Genomic DNA, 20,210 nt, shown 5'->3' on the forward strand with positions numbered 1-20,210 from the left:
ACCGGAACCGGAACCGGAGCACGGGCTGCCGCTCCCGACCGAACCGCGGGCGGCGCGGACGGCGTCGCGCGAGGGACAAGGTGCGCGAGGCGCACGCATCTTCACCTCCACTGTCGGGAGTTGACCTGCTCCTCCCGCGTGGTTACCCGTCGCTGTAAATGGTACCCTCGCCTTCCCGTTCATACTAACTAAAAACTCCTCCCTCACTCCCCATGTTCATCTTTTACTGAGTCCTGTGCATTCTACCGCCTACACATCCGGCGGTCGTGCCCGGATCTCTATCCCCACTTACCACCACTGCCCCCCACCCACCCGTAGATCACAACATCCAGTTTCTCCTCATCTCCATGATCTCGCTGTCTTCCAGCTTCCACTCATGCCCCTCGCATTCATTATCCGTCTGCAGCCACAGGTGATAATGCTAAAACACAAGACTAATTCTCTTTCTCTCCAGCTTAAACCTTTTAACTCTCCATTATCTTCAGAACAATAGTTAAACTCCTTTCTATAACCTCAACGCCCTGCATGATCTGGTCTTACCAATGCTCCTTCCAAACTGGATGATTTGCTATTTCTTTAGCATATTGCTTGTCTTCAGGGAAGCTTTGCTTGTCCTGTTCCCACTGCCTGGAAAATTCCTGACACCATCTCCAGTTGTCAAAAACTTCTCTGAAGAACAGCTTAAAAACACTGCTCTCTCGAAACGTTTTCAGTCAGCCTCTCCTTTCTCTACAATCCCACCGTTCTTTGTTACTCTCTTCATTCGTTCATTTAACATTATTTTAGTTTTTACTATGTATTAGACCCTCAACTTGGCACTACAGGGTCTGATGAATAAAATGGATTCCCTTTGTAGGACAGATAATTATCCAAACAAAAAAAATGCAGGAAATATTCTGGATCCCCGAGCAGTCTTCTCAACTGGTACGAGGAAAAGTCAAGAAAAGCCCCTTTGAGAAGGTGAAATTGAGTTAGCTGTTGAAAAATGAGTAACTTATAGGCAGACAGGTGGGAGGGGTTAGAAAGGTATTCCGGAAAAAGGAGGCCAAAAAAATAAAGGCAAATCTGGAAGCTTCCTGGTGTGTTCAGAAAGCTATTGGTAATTCATTTTGGCAGGGCCATAGAGTAGTGACAGGACACGAAGTGCACAAATATAAGCAGGAGCTACATTGTGAAAAGCTTAGGTAGAACTTCCAGTTAAACATGACAGATGTAACATATGCATTTATCTTTGCTTTCCTGGGACAGTGCCCAAAAAGGAAAATAAAGAAATAAAGTATATAAACTACAAGACTAAATGCAATGATAGAAAACATGACAGCAGATGAGAAATGTCAATTTTGTAAGACGCACACAACACTGTCCAATAGACACATAATACCAGCCACATATGTAATTTAAATTTTTCCAGTAGCCACATTTAAAAAGTAAAAATAAGTAAAATTTATTTTAATAATATTTTAAACCAAGATAGCAAAAATATTTCAAATTTTATCAGCACGATAGTGTGGCTCGTTGGCGCCCACAGTAGACAGTGCAGGTGTAGAGCATAAAAAGTTAAATGCCTGTGGACTGAAAGCCTGTAAGGAGTGAACTAATTTGCCCCTCAGAACCCATGCTCTTAAGAATTGGAGGTACTGGGTTCCTTTAAAGCCAAGGGTGCAGAGTGGGTCTGAATGAAGGATTGGCTGGAAATCTGATTAAAAAGCAGTTGAGACTGGGCACAGTGGCTCACACCTATAATCCCAGGGCTTTGGGAGGCCAAGGCTGGAGGATGGCTTGAGGCCAAGAGTTCAAGGCCAGCCTGGGCAACATAGGGAGAGCCCTAATCTCTACCAAAAAAATGTAAAAAATTAACCAGGCATGGTGGTGTGCACCTGTAGTCCCAACTACTCAGGAAGCTGAGGTGGGAAGATCACTTGAGCCCAAGAGTTTGAGGCTGCAGTGAGCTATGATTGTGTGAAACCACAATTAATTATGATATATAAGATGATAATAATGCCTGAATGAAGCCAGTAGGGGCACCCACTCCAGCCAGGGTGACAGAGTGAGACCCTGTCTCTAAAAAAAAATTGTTTGATTTTTTTAAAGCAATGGATATCTTCTGAATCTCTTTCCTTGATTCATGCAGCCAGATGGGTGCCACTGCTGGCTTCACTCGGGCATTATTATCATTGATGTTATTAACATCACTAAAAGTTAGAGTACTAATTATGTTTTAGGCATCTTACATATCATAATTATTCCTCCCAATAACTTCAAGAGGTAAGCAATATTATTATATACCCATTTCACAGGTAAGAAAATGGAGCCCCAGAAAACATAATTTACTTGCCAACAATTACACAGTATAAACTGGATGCTATGATTTGAACACAGGCATGCTTACTCAAGAATTTGCCCTCTTAGCTACCAGGTTTACTGTCTGGGGAGGTTTAGTCAGAAAACCTCTGGACTCCTGGACTATAGATGCAGCTTAGGGAGGAGGTGACTAATGGGATGTGGTCTCTAAGAAATACAGAGGGGTCTGGAATGACCACACTCCCCCCCGCCCTCCGCCACCAAATTCTAGCTTGGGTAAATGGTAGACATTAATTCTATATAACATGATTTTAAGAATAGAAGAATCAGGTTTGTGAGAAAGATGAAGAGTTCAGATTTTGACTAGCTGAATTTGAAGTTCCATGAAATATCCAAGTAGAAATATCCAGTTGGATATATGGGCCTGGAGCTCAGAAGAGATGTTTGGGCTAGAAACAATAGGAAATCATCAGCCCATCTATAGTAAATGAAGTCTAGGAGAAGATGGCATTAGTGAGAGTGCTCATGTGAAGTTGTAAGAAGCCACAATGGAAACCTAGGTCACAACATTATGTTGAAGTTCCCATGTATGAGGACAGAAATGAGGTGGGAAATAGTGATCCAAGTGTTAAAATCTTTAATGAATGTGGAGTTACTACAAGGTTGGAAGGTGACAGGAACAGAAGAAGTAATGGGCAGCCAGATGACATGCTCTTCTAAGGAGCTGTGTTTTTTTTTAATTGTTTAAAAATTTTTATTTATTTATTTATTTATTTATTTATTTTTGAGATGGAGTCTTGCTCTGTTGCCCAGGCTGGAGTGCAGTGGTGCAATCTCGGCTCACTACAAGCTCCGCCTCCTGGCTTCACGCCATTCTCCTGCCTCAGCCTCCCAAGTAGCAGGGACCACAGGTGCCCGCCACCACGCCCGGCTAATTTTTTTGTTGTATTTTTAGTAGAGATGGGGTTTCACTATGTTAGCCAGGATGGTCTCGATCCTTGTTATGCACCCACCTCAGCCTCCCAAAGTGCTGGGATTACAGGCATGAGCCACAGCGCCTGGCCAGGAGCTATGGTTTTTAAAGGAAGAAGAGGAAGAAGCAATTTGGAAGCAGCAAGGGGAAACAAGTTGGGCATCTATTCTATTCCCAGGCTTTAAGCTGTGGGAAGAAAAATAGCTCTTACTTTGGGAGATCTGCAAGGGAAACAGAACCCAGAGGCAACAGCCTAGTTTTCATTAGAGGAAGACAGGCCGGGCGCAGTGGCTTATGTCTGTAATCCCAGCACTTTGGGAGGCCAAGGGGGGCGGATCACGAGGTCAAGAAATCAAGACCATCCTGGCCAACATGCTGAAACCCACCTCTACTAAAAATACAAAAATTAGCTGGGCGTGATGACATGCGCCTGTAATCCCAGCTACTTGGGAGGCTGAGGCAGGAGAATCGCTTGAACCCAGGAGGCAGAGGTCGCAGTGAGCTGAGATCGCGCCACTGCACTCCAGCCTGGTGACAGAGTGAGACTCCATCTCAAAATAAAAAAAAAAGAAAAAAGAAGAAGAAAGTTAAGAGAAACTTCAAAGAAGTCAAGGATATAGGAGTTTTTCTGATGATAGCTCTTGACTCTATACAGCACGGTAAGTGGAAGCTTTGGAAGTCAGAAATGGAGTCAAAGTAAAATATGAAGTGAGCAGGATGGAGATGAGGGGCAGTGTGCAAATTGATGACCTTGGGGGCTTGGAATTTAGATGGTGGCCAAGGTAAATGGGCAGAGATCGTGATCTCATTAGTCCTAGAAGTGGCCTAGAGAAAGGTGAAAACACAGTTATAGTACAGAGTATTTGGCTTGGAACATATTCATTGTTGCAGTCAGTTGGGATGTGCACCTGGAAGACATGGAAGCCTCCTTAAGGCGACAGAGCTGGTAGGCAGCTCATGGAGCTGGGGCAGCTTGGAGTGGGACCTGGGATGGCTGCTCTCTCTGGTGGCTGGTGGTATAACATCAGAGCTGGGAGTGCACTAAAATTGAAGATCTTAAGGGTTTAGGTTTTCCAATAAAGTATTGGTAGGGGGCTGGGCGTGGTGGCTTAGGCCTATAATCCTAGCACTTTGGGAGGCCTAGGTGGGTGGATCACCTGAGGTCAGGAGTTCGAGACCAGCCTGGCCAACGTGTTGAAACCCCATCTCTACTAAAAATACAAAAATTAGCCAGGCATGGTGGTGCATGCCAGTAATCCCAGCCATCCAGGAGGCTGAGGCAGGAGAACGGCTTGAACCCAGGAGGCAGAGGTTGCAGTGAGTCGAGATTATGCCACTGCACTCCAGCCTTGATGACAGAGCGAGAGTCTGCTTCAAAAAAAAAAAAAAAAAAGTAACGATAGGGAATTCAGATAAAAAATCAAAAGTCTAATGGCTATAGGCTGAAGAAGGAGCAAATGACAAGGAAGTAGAGATGGCAAGTACAGCCCACTGTATATGGAGCTGGCATGAAAAGAAGGGATAAAAGTTACAGTGATAACTTGAGGGTGACTTTTCTAAGGGAAGAGAAAAGCATGTTTACATATTTAGAGGAAAAATGTCAGAAAAGAAGTGATGGAAAATAGCAGAGCAAGGGAGACCAATGTAGGAGCAAAGCCCAGATTGTGGAGCAGACATGGGAGCCAGACATTGAGTCCCCTGGCAGTAGGGATCAGCTCAGAGAAAAGAAGATGGAGTGGGTTCAGGTGCATATATTAATAAAAGGAGTGGTGCAGGGACAGAAAGTCAAGGGGGTTCATTTCTCATTGCCTTCGTTTTCTTGGTAAAGGATATGTTTGGGCCATTATCTGAGAAAGGACTCAGGGTGCAGTGGGAGGAATTTTTGAGTGTAGTGAAGGTTTGGAAATGGGCAAAGAGGTATTCAGGAATCACTCCAGCTTTGCACAGGGGCTCCCTTTGGAGTTTAAATGCAACCAAGGATTTTCTGCTGTAAATGCAACCAAGGATTTTCTGCTCTGTCCCTGGGAACTTAAAAGTATTTTCTAACCAGTACATTCTGGGCTGAACTTGGCATCCCCAAAGCATCCTTTGAGACTGGTAGCCTCCAAGGGGCCCATTCTAGAAGACTGAAGGTGGTCAGGGGACGGGAGACCGAGAGGCCCTTAGGGATTAGTTGTCAGTTGTCTCAATTCTCTTTTTATTAGATTAAAGGGAAAACTGGGGTCTACAAAGGGGTAAAGATTTGCTATGGATCACCCTGATCATTCATGTCTGCACTGGGATTGAAACCCAGTTCTCCCAACTCCCAGAGCAGGATTCTCTACACTACTTCTGCTGTGTCTGCCAGTTCTTTTGGACAGCAAAGAGGAAATAGTCTTCAAAAACAATAGCTAAACCCTTCATTTGCTGAACTTTAGAAATCTGTTTATTCCTTGGGTCTTTTTCCTATCTGACAGCCTGTGGGAAAGTGCCCCAGAATGTTTAACATTATGAGTTGGAAGGCTTCGTTCATGAAATCACTCCTAAAGTCAAAATTTCTTTAACATCAGGGCACTTGTTGAATTCTAACATGGGGGAATGGAAATTGAGGAAACTGTGTTTCTTTTTTTTTTTTTTTAGACAGAGTCTCGCTCTATCGCCAGGCTGGAGTGCAGCGGTGCGATGTGATCTCAGCTCACTGCAACCTCCGACTCCCTGGTTCAAGCAATTCTCCTGCCTCAGTCTCCCTAGTAGCTGGGATTACAGGCACATGCCACCATGCCCAGCTAATTTTTGTATTTTTAGTAGAGATGGGGTTTCACCATGTTAGCCAGGATGGTCTCGATCTCCTGACCTCGTGATCCGCCCGCCTCAGCCTCCCAAAGTGCTGGGATTACAGACGTGAGCCACTGCACCTGGCCAGGAAACTATATTTCTAGGGCATTTACTTGTAAGTCATTGTGGAAAAGCTTCTCCCGGGATTAAGTTGACAGCCGTTTATTTCCTAAATATAAGGTCTCCCTGGAAGACAGGCCCATGAAGAGCTGAAGAAAGAAGTGGGAGGACAGAGGAGAACTCACACAAGGTATTTGGAGGAGGAAGAATTCAGATTGGAAAATAAAAATAAGGTGGGAGAGAAGCTGGGGAGGGGTGGGAAGAAAATAGAGGAAAGAGGAAGAAGACCAAGAAGGAAGAAAACGGACATGAAGTGGTTGCCTTCTTATGAACTCCCTGCAAGGGAAACAGAGCCCAGAGGCAATAGCCTAGTTTTCAAGAGACTCCATGGTCTCCTAAGTCTTATCCAGTGTGCTTTACCCTCCAGACCAGGCTGGAATCTGAGCTTGGGATCCTCTCCTGCTCAAAAGCCTTCCATGACTCCCTTTGGCTGCCATATTTAGTCTCAGCTCATTGGCCACTCTTTCAAGGACCTTCATCCTTGAAGCATAATTCATTTCTCTTGCCCAAAATCATCCCCTCCTCTCTAGGCCAGCATGAGCTCTGTGTATTCCTCCCTTAAGATGCTCCTTTACCCAATTTTCTTCCCTCCTTGCCTTTCATAGCCAATCTTCCCTAAAATATAAGGCCCAAACACTATGAACTTTTTTCAGGAGGCTCTCCCAGATTCCACCCCATGCTGACTCTTCCTTTCACTAGATTCCTGTGGACACTGTTTCTCATGGGTTTACTGGGCCTTTTCACCTAGTTGGGAGTCCCGGGAGGATAGGGTGCTCCTCCCATGGCATGACTGAGCACAGAACTTGTTCACAGCAGATACTTATTCAAGTATGAGGCTGCTAGTTTCTCAAACACATTGATTCTGCCACTGCTCTGAGCAACTAGACCTCTCTCCAGGAATCAGCAATGAGTTGCCTTGAAGAAACACCCCAGAGAGTCTCATTTCAAAAAGTCACTGACTTTGCCACCAAATTTGTCCCTGAAGTGACTGTAATGATTAATTGTGTGTTAATTTGGCTGGGTGATGGTGCCTAGATATGTGGTCATACTTAATTCTGGATGTTTCTGTGAGGGTGTTTTTGGATGAGATGAACATTTGAATCGGCAGACTTTGAGTAAAGCAGATTGCTCTTCATAATGTGAGTGGGCCTTATCCAATCAGTTGAAGGCCTGAATAGAATAAAAAACCAGTTCGCCCTGGCAAGAAGCAATTCTGTAGCCAACCGAACTTTGGATTTGAACTGCAGCATCTGTCCTTCCGGGGTCTCCAGCCTGTTGGCCCACCTTGCAGAGTCTGGATTTGCCACCTTCTAAAATCACATGAGCCAACTGCCTAAAGTAAATCTCTCTCTCTCTCCCTCTCTCCACTGTGGAGTCCCCATTGTGGAGAGTCATACACCTTACCACAGGCAGGAAATCAAGGTGGTTAGCAGGAAAATGAGACCCAGGTGCCCAAAACACTGAGCAGAAGGGAGCAAGGCCTGTAACTCCAAAGTTTAGAATGAAGAGGTTAGAGAAGGAAAGCAGGAGATGGGACAGAATGCACAGAACAGCATATGGGACCTGGACTTTGAACGATGGGTAGAATTTTGATCAGGGTTAAGGGAAATATGATGAACACCTGCCAATAGTAGACATCCACAATCTTTGAATACCCTTTCTTCATTTGACATTATCCACATTGAGAGTCTCAGGTTCTCAATGTAGAATCCAACAAACTACATTTCCTGGCCTCTCTTGCTACTAGGCAAATAGTTAACTGTTTCCCCGATCAGACATACCCGTGTCCAACTTTGGTTTGAAAGTTATCTGTGAGAGGAAACAGCAGTGCTTGCTTGGCCTACCTCTTTTGGTGGGTGAGGCGGCAGCAGAGGTGGGACGTTCCTGTGGCTGGTAGCGGCCACAACGCAGTTTCCTGACAGGCAGAGCAGAGGCCATGCAGGTCTGGGATCTGTGGCACTGGAGCTTCCTTACGAGGCCAGTTCTGTGGTGTGGTTCTGGGAGTTATTCCAAGCTCTGGGGCCCTAGTTTTCTCATCTGTGAAATGGAGACTGTTCTGCCTCCCTCCCACTGAGCTAGCAAATGTGATGGAGGCTGGAAGGCAATCACGTGTGAGACAAAAACAGCAACAGCTGCTGCCGCTCAAAGGCAAGTCTGAAGAAAGAAAATTGGAATCAGAAAAGGGAAGAGTTTTTGAGGAAAACCTTTGGGAGGAAGCCTCTAGAAGGCCCATATTTCTTATCCTAAAGCTCTACCCAAATGGGGACAGGTGGGCAAAGGTTAGGGGTACGAGGATAGAAGTTTCTTGGTGGTGAGTGGTCAAGGTGAGAATGTCCTTACTGCTTTCCTGCCAACTCTCCTCACTGGCCTCTGCCCCTGAAAGACGCAGAGCAGAGAGAAGTCACAGTCGGTTACCTTGGGCATTTCTGCCTTGAATAAGGAGAAATAGTCTTTGGTGCCAATTAATTAAGCAAACTGATAGAAATTCCCTGCTTAAGTCACACTTTGCATATCCACAATCTCTGCACTACATTTTCTGTATACTTTACCCCTGGGTAAAAATTGGTGAGTATTTAAATGCTTCCTCACATAATCTTGCTAAAGCACACTCTTGCCTATAAATATTCATGCCACTGCCAAAACATTTGCAAGCTTTCCCCAAAGGTGAAATGTGTGTAATGTACTTTGTCTTCTGGGTATAAATATTATCCAATACATTTTGGTTAATATGAATACACTAATTATTCCTGCAACCCTTTTAAAAAGGGTCATCTTCATGATGTGAATTTTTTAAAAATGTAATTACAATAATTGGATACTTAATCTAATTAAAATTTGCTTTATCTTTAATGGGAATTTGTCTAAAGAGGCAGAATGACAATTGGCTTTTTGATAATGACTGTTTTCTTTCTTCAGGGGATCAAGCTGGTGAAAACTGGAGAACCAGGCAGGTTTGTGTCTGCCAGTTCCCTGCTTACTGGGCAGAGCAAGGCCAGTCTCTCTTCTTCTTACAATTCACTACTTAAGTAGCAAACATGGGTTGTGGTTACTGGAAAAGGACTAGGGGAACCTTTTGTATTCCAACAGATGAAGCTGCTCCTCTTCCTAGGAAGCAGTCCTTTGTTCCCCTGGACCTGTGACTGATCCACAGCAGGCATGTGATCTAAGCCTGATAGATCAGGTCCCTCGCTGGGCTTGCTGCAGCTGGAGAAGAAGCAGCTCCATGCTGCTTTGGGGGGGGCATGGTGCTGGAAGGAGTTGTAGTGGATGGTATAGGTGCTCCACTCATATCCCATTGGTTCACCCTTGAGGTCATCTTCAGACAGTCCCTGCACACAAACTGAGCTCCTATGTCTCTCTGCATAAAGCTGCTTCTCTGGCCTGGGGAGCAAGCTAGGGAGAGTTACCACTCCCAGAGCAACTCTTAAACAATGAAGGAGAGGAGCTGGCAGATAAACACCTCAGCTTCCTTGTTCTTCAGGGGCTCAATTCTGAGTGGTGCTCCACACATTCTTTTTGAGGCATCCCAGTAGGATTGAGATCTACTTGCTCCAGCTGTAACCCACTCACCGAGACACCCGTTTGGGGTTTCCGCCCCTTCTTTGTCTCACTTACCTGCTCTCTCATTTTGCTTCTGGTGTCATCTTCCAAATAAAGTGGTACACCCAAACTTTTGCCTTGGAGTTTGCTTTGAGGGGAGCCCAAACTAAGATAGAGGAAAAGTTGGGGTTCCCAGGCAACTATTTTCTCTACCACATGGAGTAGGTCTGTTTGAAGAAGGTGAGAGAGAAGCTAGCAAAAATAAGGGGGGTGGAGAGCGAGCTTGGTGGTGCCGAATGGTTTCACCCCCAAGACTCCTTTTGTTCCCTCTCATTCTTTGATTCTCGAAGCTGCCCTGAACTCTTCCCAGCCATGTGAACCAATACATTCCTCCCTGTATGTGTTAAGCTTGCTTGAATTGGATTTCTGTCTCTTGCAACTGAAAGTATTAATGACTCTTACAAAGAATAAGTGAGTTCGCATGCAAAGCATTTTGAATAGAGCCTGTCACAGATTAAATACTATTACTGGTGCATATTATTATTATTTAATGTCTGACTCGCTTCCAGTGGAGACCATGGATCAAGAAGCTAGAGCCTAGAAAAGAATCACAAAAAAGTCAGTTTAATTCTACCTAATTCCTCTCTTTTGTGTTTTTCATAACTTGATTATGTTGATGGCTACCTTCTTTGCCACTGGGAGATACTTTATACAATAATTATAGCTTTAATATCTTCTTACTCATCATTAACAATGGGCAATTAAGTATTATTCTGTTGTGCTTAAAAGTCATGTTGGTTTGGCCACAACTTTGTTACCAAGATCTGAGAGACAAACCACCCAGCATGAATGACCCAGTCAGGTTCAAGACATGGCAGGCTCTGCCTGGCTTCAGGGACTCACTAAGACTGCCATGGTCCTTAGGCATTTTTATCTTCATGGACTCCCATTAATGGGGATTAATGTTTATATTATATGACCACATTGGCATAAAGATAAATATGTTAGTATTATATATTAAGACATGTTCTTTGACCTAAAAATCTATTTTTTTCCTCCTGATTTTAAGAGAAATTAAAACATGTTAGTGCTCACTGTGCCTGATGGTTAAATAGGCCCTACCTCGCTAAGTTCACAAACTGCTGCTTGGTTAGCAACTTACACCCCAGGAACCTGGGTGTGCGGTAAACAAGTAATGTGGCTCCTGGTTTATATTTTTCATAACACATAATAGTTTTAAACTGTATCAAGTATCATAGGAGCAAAATGTTGACATGTTTAGAAAAGCTGCTGGGAGATGTTTCTACTTTCTAGGGCCTGTGGAAGACTTCATCTTGGCAGAGGGAAAAGGCTTCCAAGAATCTTCCAGTTATGCAAAGGCAAGGCCCAGCGGTACATCTGGACAGAGTAGGGATTGAGACAAGGATGAAGGGGCTTTTCCGAATAAAGTTGTGTTTTCCTTTGATGAAAAGTTGTTGTGTGGTAAAATTTGGGACTTCCTCTGGTGGCCCAGAGATGGGAATTTGACAGCCTGGGGACTGAAGAAGAGAGGACAGGGTTTAAAGACCTAGGATTTTTGGAGGAGCTGGGCCTAATGGAGAGTCAGCCATGAAAGAACTCCCTAGGGTGGGAGATGGCAGGTGGGCCATGGTTTCAGTAAGATGCTATTCAGGTTTTCCTCCTGCACTGTAATCCTCTTATGGTTTCCTCAAGCCTTTAGAAAAGTCTGGGACACACCATGGGCTGTGTCAGTGGTCCTAGGGTTTAAGGAAGGGCACTCTTCCCTGTTTGGAGCAAGGGACTTCCCCCTTATAAGGCTAGGGCAGAGGCAGCAGCAGTGAATGAATGATAATGCTGATTCCGACTCCCAGTAACTAGAAACAGCGTGAATGGGGGGCGCTGTGGTGCCACCAGGTGCAAGCAGAGGAGCAGGCTGCAGTGTGTCCAGGTCAAAAATGCGCTTGAGACAAAGGCTGTTTCTCCCTAGTACACTGGAAGACATTGATCCTTGAATGGAAGGAGGCAGGGAGAGGAATTAGATCCTGTTTTTACATGGTTAATGGTCCCCAAGAAGCTGAAGTTTATAATTTCCTCACCTCTCTGAGCCCATCTCTTATTATAGTCTCTTTGCTCCCAGCTCCAGCCACATTGGGCTCCCCATTCTCACTCAAACATGCCTGGGAAGCACCCACCCTGAGCCTTTGCACTTGTGCCCTCCATCTGGGATGCTCTTACACCAAGTATGTACATGGCTCAATCTCTCACTTCCTTCAAGTCTTTGCTCAAATATCGCCTTTCTCAATGAGGCTTTCCATGACCAATGTATTTAAAATACAACACTCCTGATCTTCCTGCCCTGCTTTATATTCTTCCTTGCACTTACCACCTTCTAAAGCTTATCCCCTTCCTTGCTTGCCTGTCCCTCCCCTCTGGAGTAGAGGCTGCATTAGGGCAGGCAGTTTTGTCTACTTGCCCACTTCTGCATCTGCAGTGCCCAGAGCAGAGCCTATTATATGGTAGACTTCAGCAAATATTTATTGGGTGCATGAATGAAGATAACAGCATCTGGGTTATACAAAGTGCTTTGAATAACCTCTCTAACTGAATGTAAGCTTATAGATATGTTATATAGCAACTGAAAAGCGTAATTGGGTAAATAAGGTGGGGACAGGTTTGCATTGAGTGACTGATCATTCACAGTCTCGTTTGGCTTAGATGGTGTTTATCAAGCAGTAGGTGGCTGGTTTTAAAATGGTGTTTTGTAGAAACCTAGGTGCTGTAGGGTGTCTTTCAATGTTTGTTCTTAATTTTGTTTTCAAATATATTTTTAAATATTTTTGAGAGTAAAACGCATGCTTGAATGCATTGTATATTAAATTTGAATATATTGGCAATTCCTGAGGCACATTACTGTCAGGTTAACTCACTTTAAAAAAAATACAGCTTGGGAATAAAGATCATTCTGCCATTTCTATGAATGTATTTGGATTTCTTCTAAGTGTGTCCATAAAATGTTATTTTAAGTTTCACTCGTGACACTTTATTTCTCACAATGGATGTAAGCAGTTAATTTTGTGATTTTTTGTTGGAAAAAATAATGATTTTCTACTGTTCTCTTTCAAGCTTCTGAAACGAGTTAATTGAAGATCATCTTGAGGGTGCAAGGTGAACTGAAAATACATTGTTGTTTTCTCTATGTTTCTCTGAGTGTCTGGATTTTCTTTTTATTTTATTATTGTTTTTTATCTTATTTTAGATTCAGGGGTATGTGTGCAGGTTTGTTATATAGGCAAACTGTGTGTCACAGGGGTTTAGTGTACAGATTATTTTGTGCCCCAGGTAATAAGCATAGTGCCCGATAGGTTTCTTTTCTGATCCTCTCCCTCCTCCCACCCTTCACCCACAAGTAGGCCTCAATGTCTGTTGTTTTCCTCTTTGCGCTCATGTGTTCTCGTTGTTTAATTCCCAGCTGTAAGTGAGAGCATATGGTATTTGCTTTTCTGTTCCTGTGTTAGTTTGCTTAGGATAATGTCCTCCAGCTCCATTCATGTTGTTGCAAAGGAACTGATCTCATTCTTTTTTATGGCTGCACAATATTCCACCATGTATATGTACCACATTTTCTTTATCCAGGCTACCCCTGATGGGCATTTAGGTTAATTCCATGACTTTGCTATTGTAAATAGTGCTGTCGTGAACATACGCATGCGTGTGTCTTTATGGTAGAATGATTTAGATTCCTTTGGGTATATACCCAGTAATGGAATTGCTAAGTCAAATGCTAATTCTGTTTAAGTTCTTTGAGGAATTGCCACACTGCTTTCCATAATGGCTGAACTAATTTACACTCCACCAGCAGTATAAAAGTATTCCCTTTTCTCCACAACCTCACCAACATCTGTTATTTTTTGGCTTTTTAGTAATAGCCATTCTGACTGATGTGAGATGGTATCTCATTGTTGTTTTGATTTGCATTTCTCTAGTGATTAGCGATGCTGAGCTTTTTTTCATATGCTTGTCAGCTGCATGTATGTCTTCTTTTGAAAAATACCTGTTCGTGTTCTTTGCCCACTTTTTAATAGGGGTAGTTTGGTCTTTGTTTGTAAAATTGTTTAAGTTCCAAATAGATTCTGGATATTAGACCTTTGTTTGATGCATACTTTGCAATTATTTTCTCCCATTCTATAGATTGTCCGTTGACTCTGTTGATAATTTCTTTTGCCAGCAGAAGCTCTTTACTTTAATTAGGTCCCATTTACCAATTTTTGTTTTTGTTGCTATTGTTTTTGGCATCTTTGTCATGAAATCATTGCCAGGTCCTATGTCCAAAATGATATTTCATAGGTTACTTTCCAGGGTTTTTATCGTTTTAGGTTTTACATTAAAGGCTTTAATCCATCTTGAGTTAATTTTTGTATATGGTATAAGGAAGGGGTCCAGTTTCAATCTTCTGCATAGTTATCCAGATGGTTTTCCTAGCACTATTTATTGACTAGAGAGTTCTTTCCCCATTGCTTGTTTATGTTGGCTTTGTTGAAGATCAGATGATTCTAGGTGTGCGTCATTATTTCTGGGCTCTGCATTCCGTTCCAATGGTCTATGTAGGATTTTCTCAATACTACATGATCAAAACAAAAGGCAAAGATAAGATGGGTGCCAAACTAATACGTAGCAGAAACTCTCCTCAATAGCCTTGTTTTCAATATTTCTTCGAAGTGGTAATGTGTTATACTTTTGTATTTGTTGTACTTTGGGTGGTCTTGCTTTATTTTTGTTTTTTGTTTTCCTATGAAACTGATGCAGCTATGTAAATGAGCTCGTGTCACCATAAGGATATAATCTCATGTCTTCCTAAAGTCATGGCACCTGTAGATCCAAGTGTTGTTCTGTACCTGCTCCTCTGATCTACTTTCTGGGTTAATGTAACTTTATATCAAGAAGATTTTGAATGTGGAAAGCTAATTTTACACAGGGTGTGGGGAGGCAGTGAAGTTTTTAATTGACAAGCTGTCAAATTCACTTTTTTCTATGAGTTTTTACATTTACATAGATTCTTGTAACCAAAGCAGAAAAATTCCAATGTTCCAAAGAATCCCACCTCCTGCCCCTTTATTAAGACCCATCCTCATCACATACCCCTGGCAACCACTGATCTGTTTTCTGTTCCTATATTTTTGCCTTTTCCAGAATATCTTATAAATGTGATTATATGGTATGTAATCTTTTGAGACTGGGTTCTTTCACTTAGCATGATGCATTTGAGATTCATCCAAGTTGTTATGTGTATCAATAGTGCATAGCTTTTTATTGCTGAGTGGTATCTAGTGTATGTATACAGCACAGTTTATCTACTCACGTACTGGAGGACAATTGGGTTGTTTCCAGTTTTTGGTAATCACGAGATATTGCTATAAACATTTGAGTACAGATTTTTATGTTAACATAAGTTTTTATTTCTCTAAATACAAAAAAAATGAAATGGTTGGGACATAGGTGAACATATGTTTTGCTTTTTAGGGAAGCGCTTATGTTTTCCAGAGTGGCTGTATAATTTTGCATTTCTACCAGGACCATCTGAGAGTTCCAGTTGCTCCACATTCTCATCAGCACTTAATATTGTCAGTTTTGTTTTAGTTATTTTAGCCATGTTAGTGTATACGCTGGTGTGTCATTGTGTTTTTATTTTTTACTTACCTAATGACTAAAGATGTTGAGCATCTTTTCATATGGTTATTTGTTATCAGTATACCTTTGGTGAAGTGTCTATTTAAACCCTTTGCCATTTAAAAAAATTGAGTCGTTTTCTTATTGTTGAGTTTTGAGGGTTAGATATGTGATTTACAAATATTTTCTGCTAGTCTGTGGCCGATGTTATGTTTTGTTGTTGTTGTTTTGAGACAGGGTCTGGCTCTGTCGCCCCAGCTGTAGTACAGTGGTGCGACCTCAGCTCACTGCAACCTCTGCCTCCTGGGTTCAAGCCATCCTCCTCCATCAGCCTCCCAAGTAGCTAGGACTACAGGTGCATGCCACCATACCCAGCTAATTTTTGTATTTTTTTGTAGAGATGGGGTTTCACCATGTTGCTCAGGCTGGTCTTCAACTCCTGAGCTCAAGTGATCTGCCCACCTCGGCTGCCCAAAGTGCTGGGATTACAAGCATGAGCCACCATGCCCAGCCAATGTTTTCATTTCCTTAACCATATTCTTCACAGAAAAAATTTTTAATTTTGCTGGAGTTTAATTTATCAATACTTTATTTTATGGATTGTACTTCTAGTGTCACATCTGGAACCCTTTGGCTAACCCAAGGTCAAAATATATTCCTATCCCTGCTTCTATGAGTTTTATAGTTTTACATTTTACCTTTAGGTCTATTACCCATTTAAAGTTAATTTTTATATAAATTGCTTTTAATTCTTGACTTTTCAAAACGATTGGTTGTTTTAATTATTTGACTTTCTTTTTGAATGAAAATGACATTATCAAACTAACACATGTTTCTTATACAAGATACAAAGATGAAAGCTAATATTCACTCTCAAACATCACCATGCAGAAACGACTATCTCTAACTCTTGATGAACATCATTTCGGAAACCCCTCTGATATACACATTCATACATGCATGCAGATACAGCTAGGAAAAAAAGGTAAGTATGTGAAAGACAGGTAGGTAGCTTTTATTTTATTGGGAATATTGTCTTCTTAAGAAACACCCAGCTGGGCGCGGTGGCTCACTCCTGTAATCCCAGCACTTCGGGAGGCCGAGGTGGGCGGATCATGAGGTCAGGAGATCAAGACCATCCTGTCCAACATGGTGAAATCCTGTCCAACATGGTGAAACCCTGTCTCTACTAAAATACAAAAACTAGCTGGGCGTGGTGGTGCGGTGATTGCAGTGAGCTGAGATTGTGCCACTGCACTCCAGCTTGGCGACAGAGCGAGACTCCCTCTCAAAAAAAAAAAAAGAAAAGAAAAGGAAAAAAGAAAAAGAAACACCCATTATATATATTGGGTTTCCTTATCTACCAACTTCCTCATGATAATGTCTATTTTTAAAAATTTTTTATTCCATTTTGTCTTATGTGATTTCCTTAATTCTGACCGTAAGGACTCTGGCTGTATTTTCACTCATTTTTAAATGTTATTTGCTGTTTCTGATGTGAAGTGGATCTCTGTAATCTTCTCTCTCTCTCTCTTTTGCTTTTGCTTATTTTCTTGACTTTTGCCAGATTATTATTTCATTTTTTATAAGCTCTTCTCCATACCTTTGTGTCTGTTCTCTAAATTTTTCTTCAGAAAGAGAGATCATGTCATCTATAATTTAATGAAAGCTGTGGGAAATTATTTGTCCGAGTCCTTCCGTTGTTTGCGCGGGTAATTCCTCTTGAACTTTGTTCTTCATCTGCTTTTTCTTTATGTTCCTCTTCTTATGTTCTCCAGCCCTGACCCTTTGCTAAGGTCCTGTGTAATTTCCAGGGGATTGGTTCTCATCTTTAAATGGAGTGGGTTATTTGTTGAAGAAAAGTGTGGGGAGAGGAGATAGAAGAGTGAGTTAAGATAGTTCACAGCTTCAACTGAAGCCAGTAGTGGCAAACGGCCCCTCAGCAAATCTGTTATTTTACCTGCCCAGTGTGCCTGTCTTCCATTTGTCCTCAGTTTCAAGAGATTTATAAGGCTCATAGCAGGGATCCTAAAGTCACAGGTTCTCTGTATTATAATCTTATGACCCTCATTTAAGCCCCTTCTCCATAACCATTTCCCCTCCAGGTCAGAGTCCGGATAATAGTAATAATGGTGGTGCTGCTGCTTCTCCATCCCCTGCCCCCACAAAAAAGACTAGTTGATGAGTCAGCACCATTTATTGAACAACCAGGCTTTCAAATGTTGATTCAAAATGCTACCCTTATAGTAAATTCACATCTATGTTTTGATTTCTCTCTGGACTCTCCATTCTGTGCCAATTATCAGTCTACCATGTCAGTAGTGTACTGTTTTATTTACTATAGCTTAATAATATGTTTCGTTATCAGGTGGAGCTAACTCATTATCATTCCTCTTATCTAGAATTTTACTGCCTATACGTACAAATATCTTTTCCAGATTAACATTATAATCACTTTCTAAGCCATTGGTAGGATTGGTATCACAATTAATGTATACATCTATTTATTGATAATTACCATCTTTATAAAATTAAGTTTATTTTGTTTATAGCCAAACATTAGTTGTATCTTCATTTATTTTAGTCTTTTCACTCCTCAGTAGAGGTTTATAGGTTCTAAACACTTTTTCTCAAATGCATTTCTGGGCATTTCTGCTTTTACCACTACTGTAAATGTGAACTTTTTTCCTATACTATATTTAACCCATTTTTTATATAAGAAAAATCTGTTTTTATATTTCAGTTTTCTAATTGTCATTTACCATGTGTTGTTTCCGTTAAATTGTTTGGATTTTTTCATATCAATTACAAATAATTGTAATTTTACCTCCTCTTCCCAATTTCACGTCTTGTATTTATTTCTTCTGGCTGTTTATATTGGTCAATAACTGCGCAACAGTGTTAAATAATACTGGTGTTACAGTATACCCTGATTTTATTCCTGATGTTGATAGAAATGATTCTGAAGTTTTAACATTAAGCATAATGCTGACTTTTAGTCTGAGGACATCTAAGTGTATTAACATGGTAATTAGATTAACATTTTCCTAATTTTAAATCACTCTTGCATTTCTGGTATGAATTTTACTTGGTATTGCCAAAAATATGCTACTACGTTCTACTTGCTAATATTTTATTTAAGATTCTTGCTTTCCTATTCAAAAGTGAAATTAGACCGGTGCGGTTGTTCATGCCTATAATCCCAGCACTTTGGGAGGCCAAGGTGGTGGATCGCTCAAGGCCAGGTGTTCAAGACCAGCCTGGGCAACATGGTGAAACCCCATCTTTACCAAAAATACAAAAATTAGCCAGTCTCCTAACCCGGTCTCAAAAGAAATAAATAAATAAATATATAAAAAATTTATTTAAAAAAATGAAATTAATCTGTAGTAGTTTTCATGTCTTGTCAAGTTTTACGATCAATGTTCATGTATCTGCATGTATATATTTACTATATATACATATATAAATGTATCCATTAAAATTTATATGATATACATCTTGATTTTTTCATGTAACATGTTTTAAAGATATTCTTATGACAGCATATGTTTTTAAGCATGGATAGATCATACTTTTTATTTACGTATTTTTTTCTTCAACTTTTATTTTACGTTCCAGGGTACTTGTACAGGATGTGCAGGTTTGTTACACAGGTAAATATGTGCCATGGTGGTTTGCTGCACAGATCAACCCATCACCTAGGTATTAAGTCCAGCATCCATTATCTATTCTTCCTGATGCTCTGCCCCTCACCCCCACCGTCCCCCGACAAGCCCCAGTGTGTGTTGTTCCCTGCGATGTGTCCATGTGTTCTCATCAACATTTGTTTAACTTGTTTTGTTACAAAGACTCCTGAGATTTTCTTTCCTTTTTATGCACTGGACTAGTTCAACTTCAGAATTATTTGTTCCTCAGAGGTCTGGAAGAGGTTACATGAGAAACTATTTGTATATGTGTGCATATGCATGTATATATAAGTACTATTTCTTTTACAACTTTCTCAATATCTTCCATGATTATTAACATGTCTTTAGTCAATTTTGATAACATTTTTCTAGAAATAATTTCACACAACTTTAAAAATACATTAGCATGGAGTTATGGAAAATTTTTAAATAATAATATTTTAACTTTCTACATATTTGTGGTTATTTCCCTGTTTTGTGTATTTGTGCTTCTTTTTGATGAATTAACTACAGGTTAAGCATCTCTAATCTGAAAATCTGAAGTCTGAAATGTTCCAAAATCCACACCTTTTCTAACACTGACCTGACGCCATGTCAGGAGGCCAAAAGCCTGTCGTTGCGCGTTGTTGCTGTTTTTAACAGCTGATCCGGGTATTCTGGGAATGCTACTGTGCTGCTTAGTTACCTTGAACACATTATTTTTTCACTGTATTAAGGGTATATCATATTTTTTACTGTTAAGTACTTCTGTGTGAATAAATAGAAGAAAATGCTTATTGGTAGCATATAAATTCAAAGTCAGGAAAGATGGTGATGCCAAACAACCACAAATTGTCCACATGGTGGCTGAGACAGTGACACCTTCGCTTTCTGACGGCTCAGTGTACACAAACTTGTTTTATACACAAAATTATTTAAAATATTGTGTAAAACTACTTCCAGGCTATGTGTGTAAGGTCTATATGAAACATAAATGAATTTCATGTTTAGACTTGGGTCACATCCCAAAGAGATCTCATTATGTATATGCACATATTCCAAAATCTGAAAAAGTCTGAAGTCCAAAACACCTCTGGTCCCAAGCATTTCATATAAGGGATACTTAACAT

The 20,210-nt window shown here is 41.2% G+C and overlaps 1 long non-coding RNA gene across 1 annotated transcript; it reads left to right on the top strand.

The window, feature by feature from the left end:
• Nucleotides 42–11,219, top strand: RIC3-DT (RIC3 divergent transcript). Its single transcript, NR_187234.1, has 5 exons — nucleotides 42–161; nucleotides 857–960; nucleotides 6,269–6,338; nucleotides 9,125–9,159; nucleotides 11,063–11,219. It is a non-coding gene; the product is annotated as an RIC3 divergent transcript (long non-coding RNA).
• Nucleotides 11,220–20,210: the final 8,991 nt, after the last annotated feature.

This window comes from Homo sapiens, chromosome 11 (assembly GCF_000001405.40).
Source record: "Homo sapiens chromosome 11, GRCh38.p14 Primary Assembly".
NCBI classification, from domain to species: domain Eukaryota; kingdom Metazoa; phylum Chordata; class Mammalia; order Primates; family Hominidae; genus Homo; species Homo sapiens.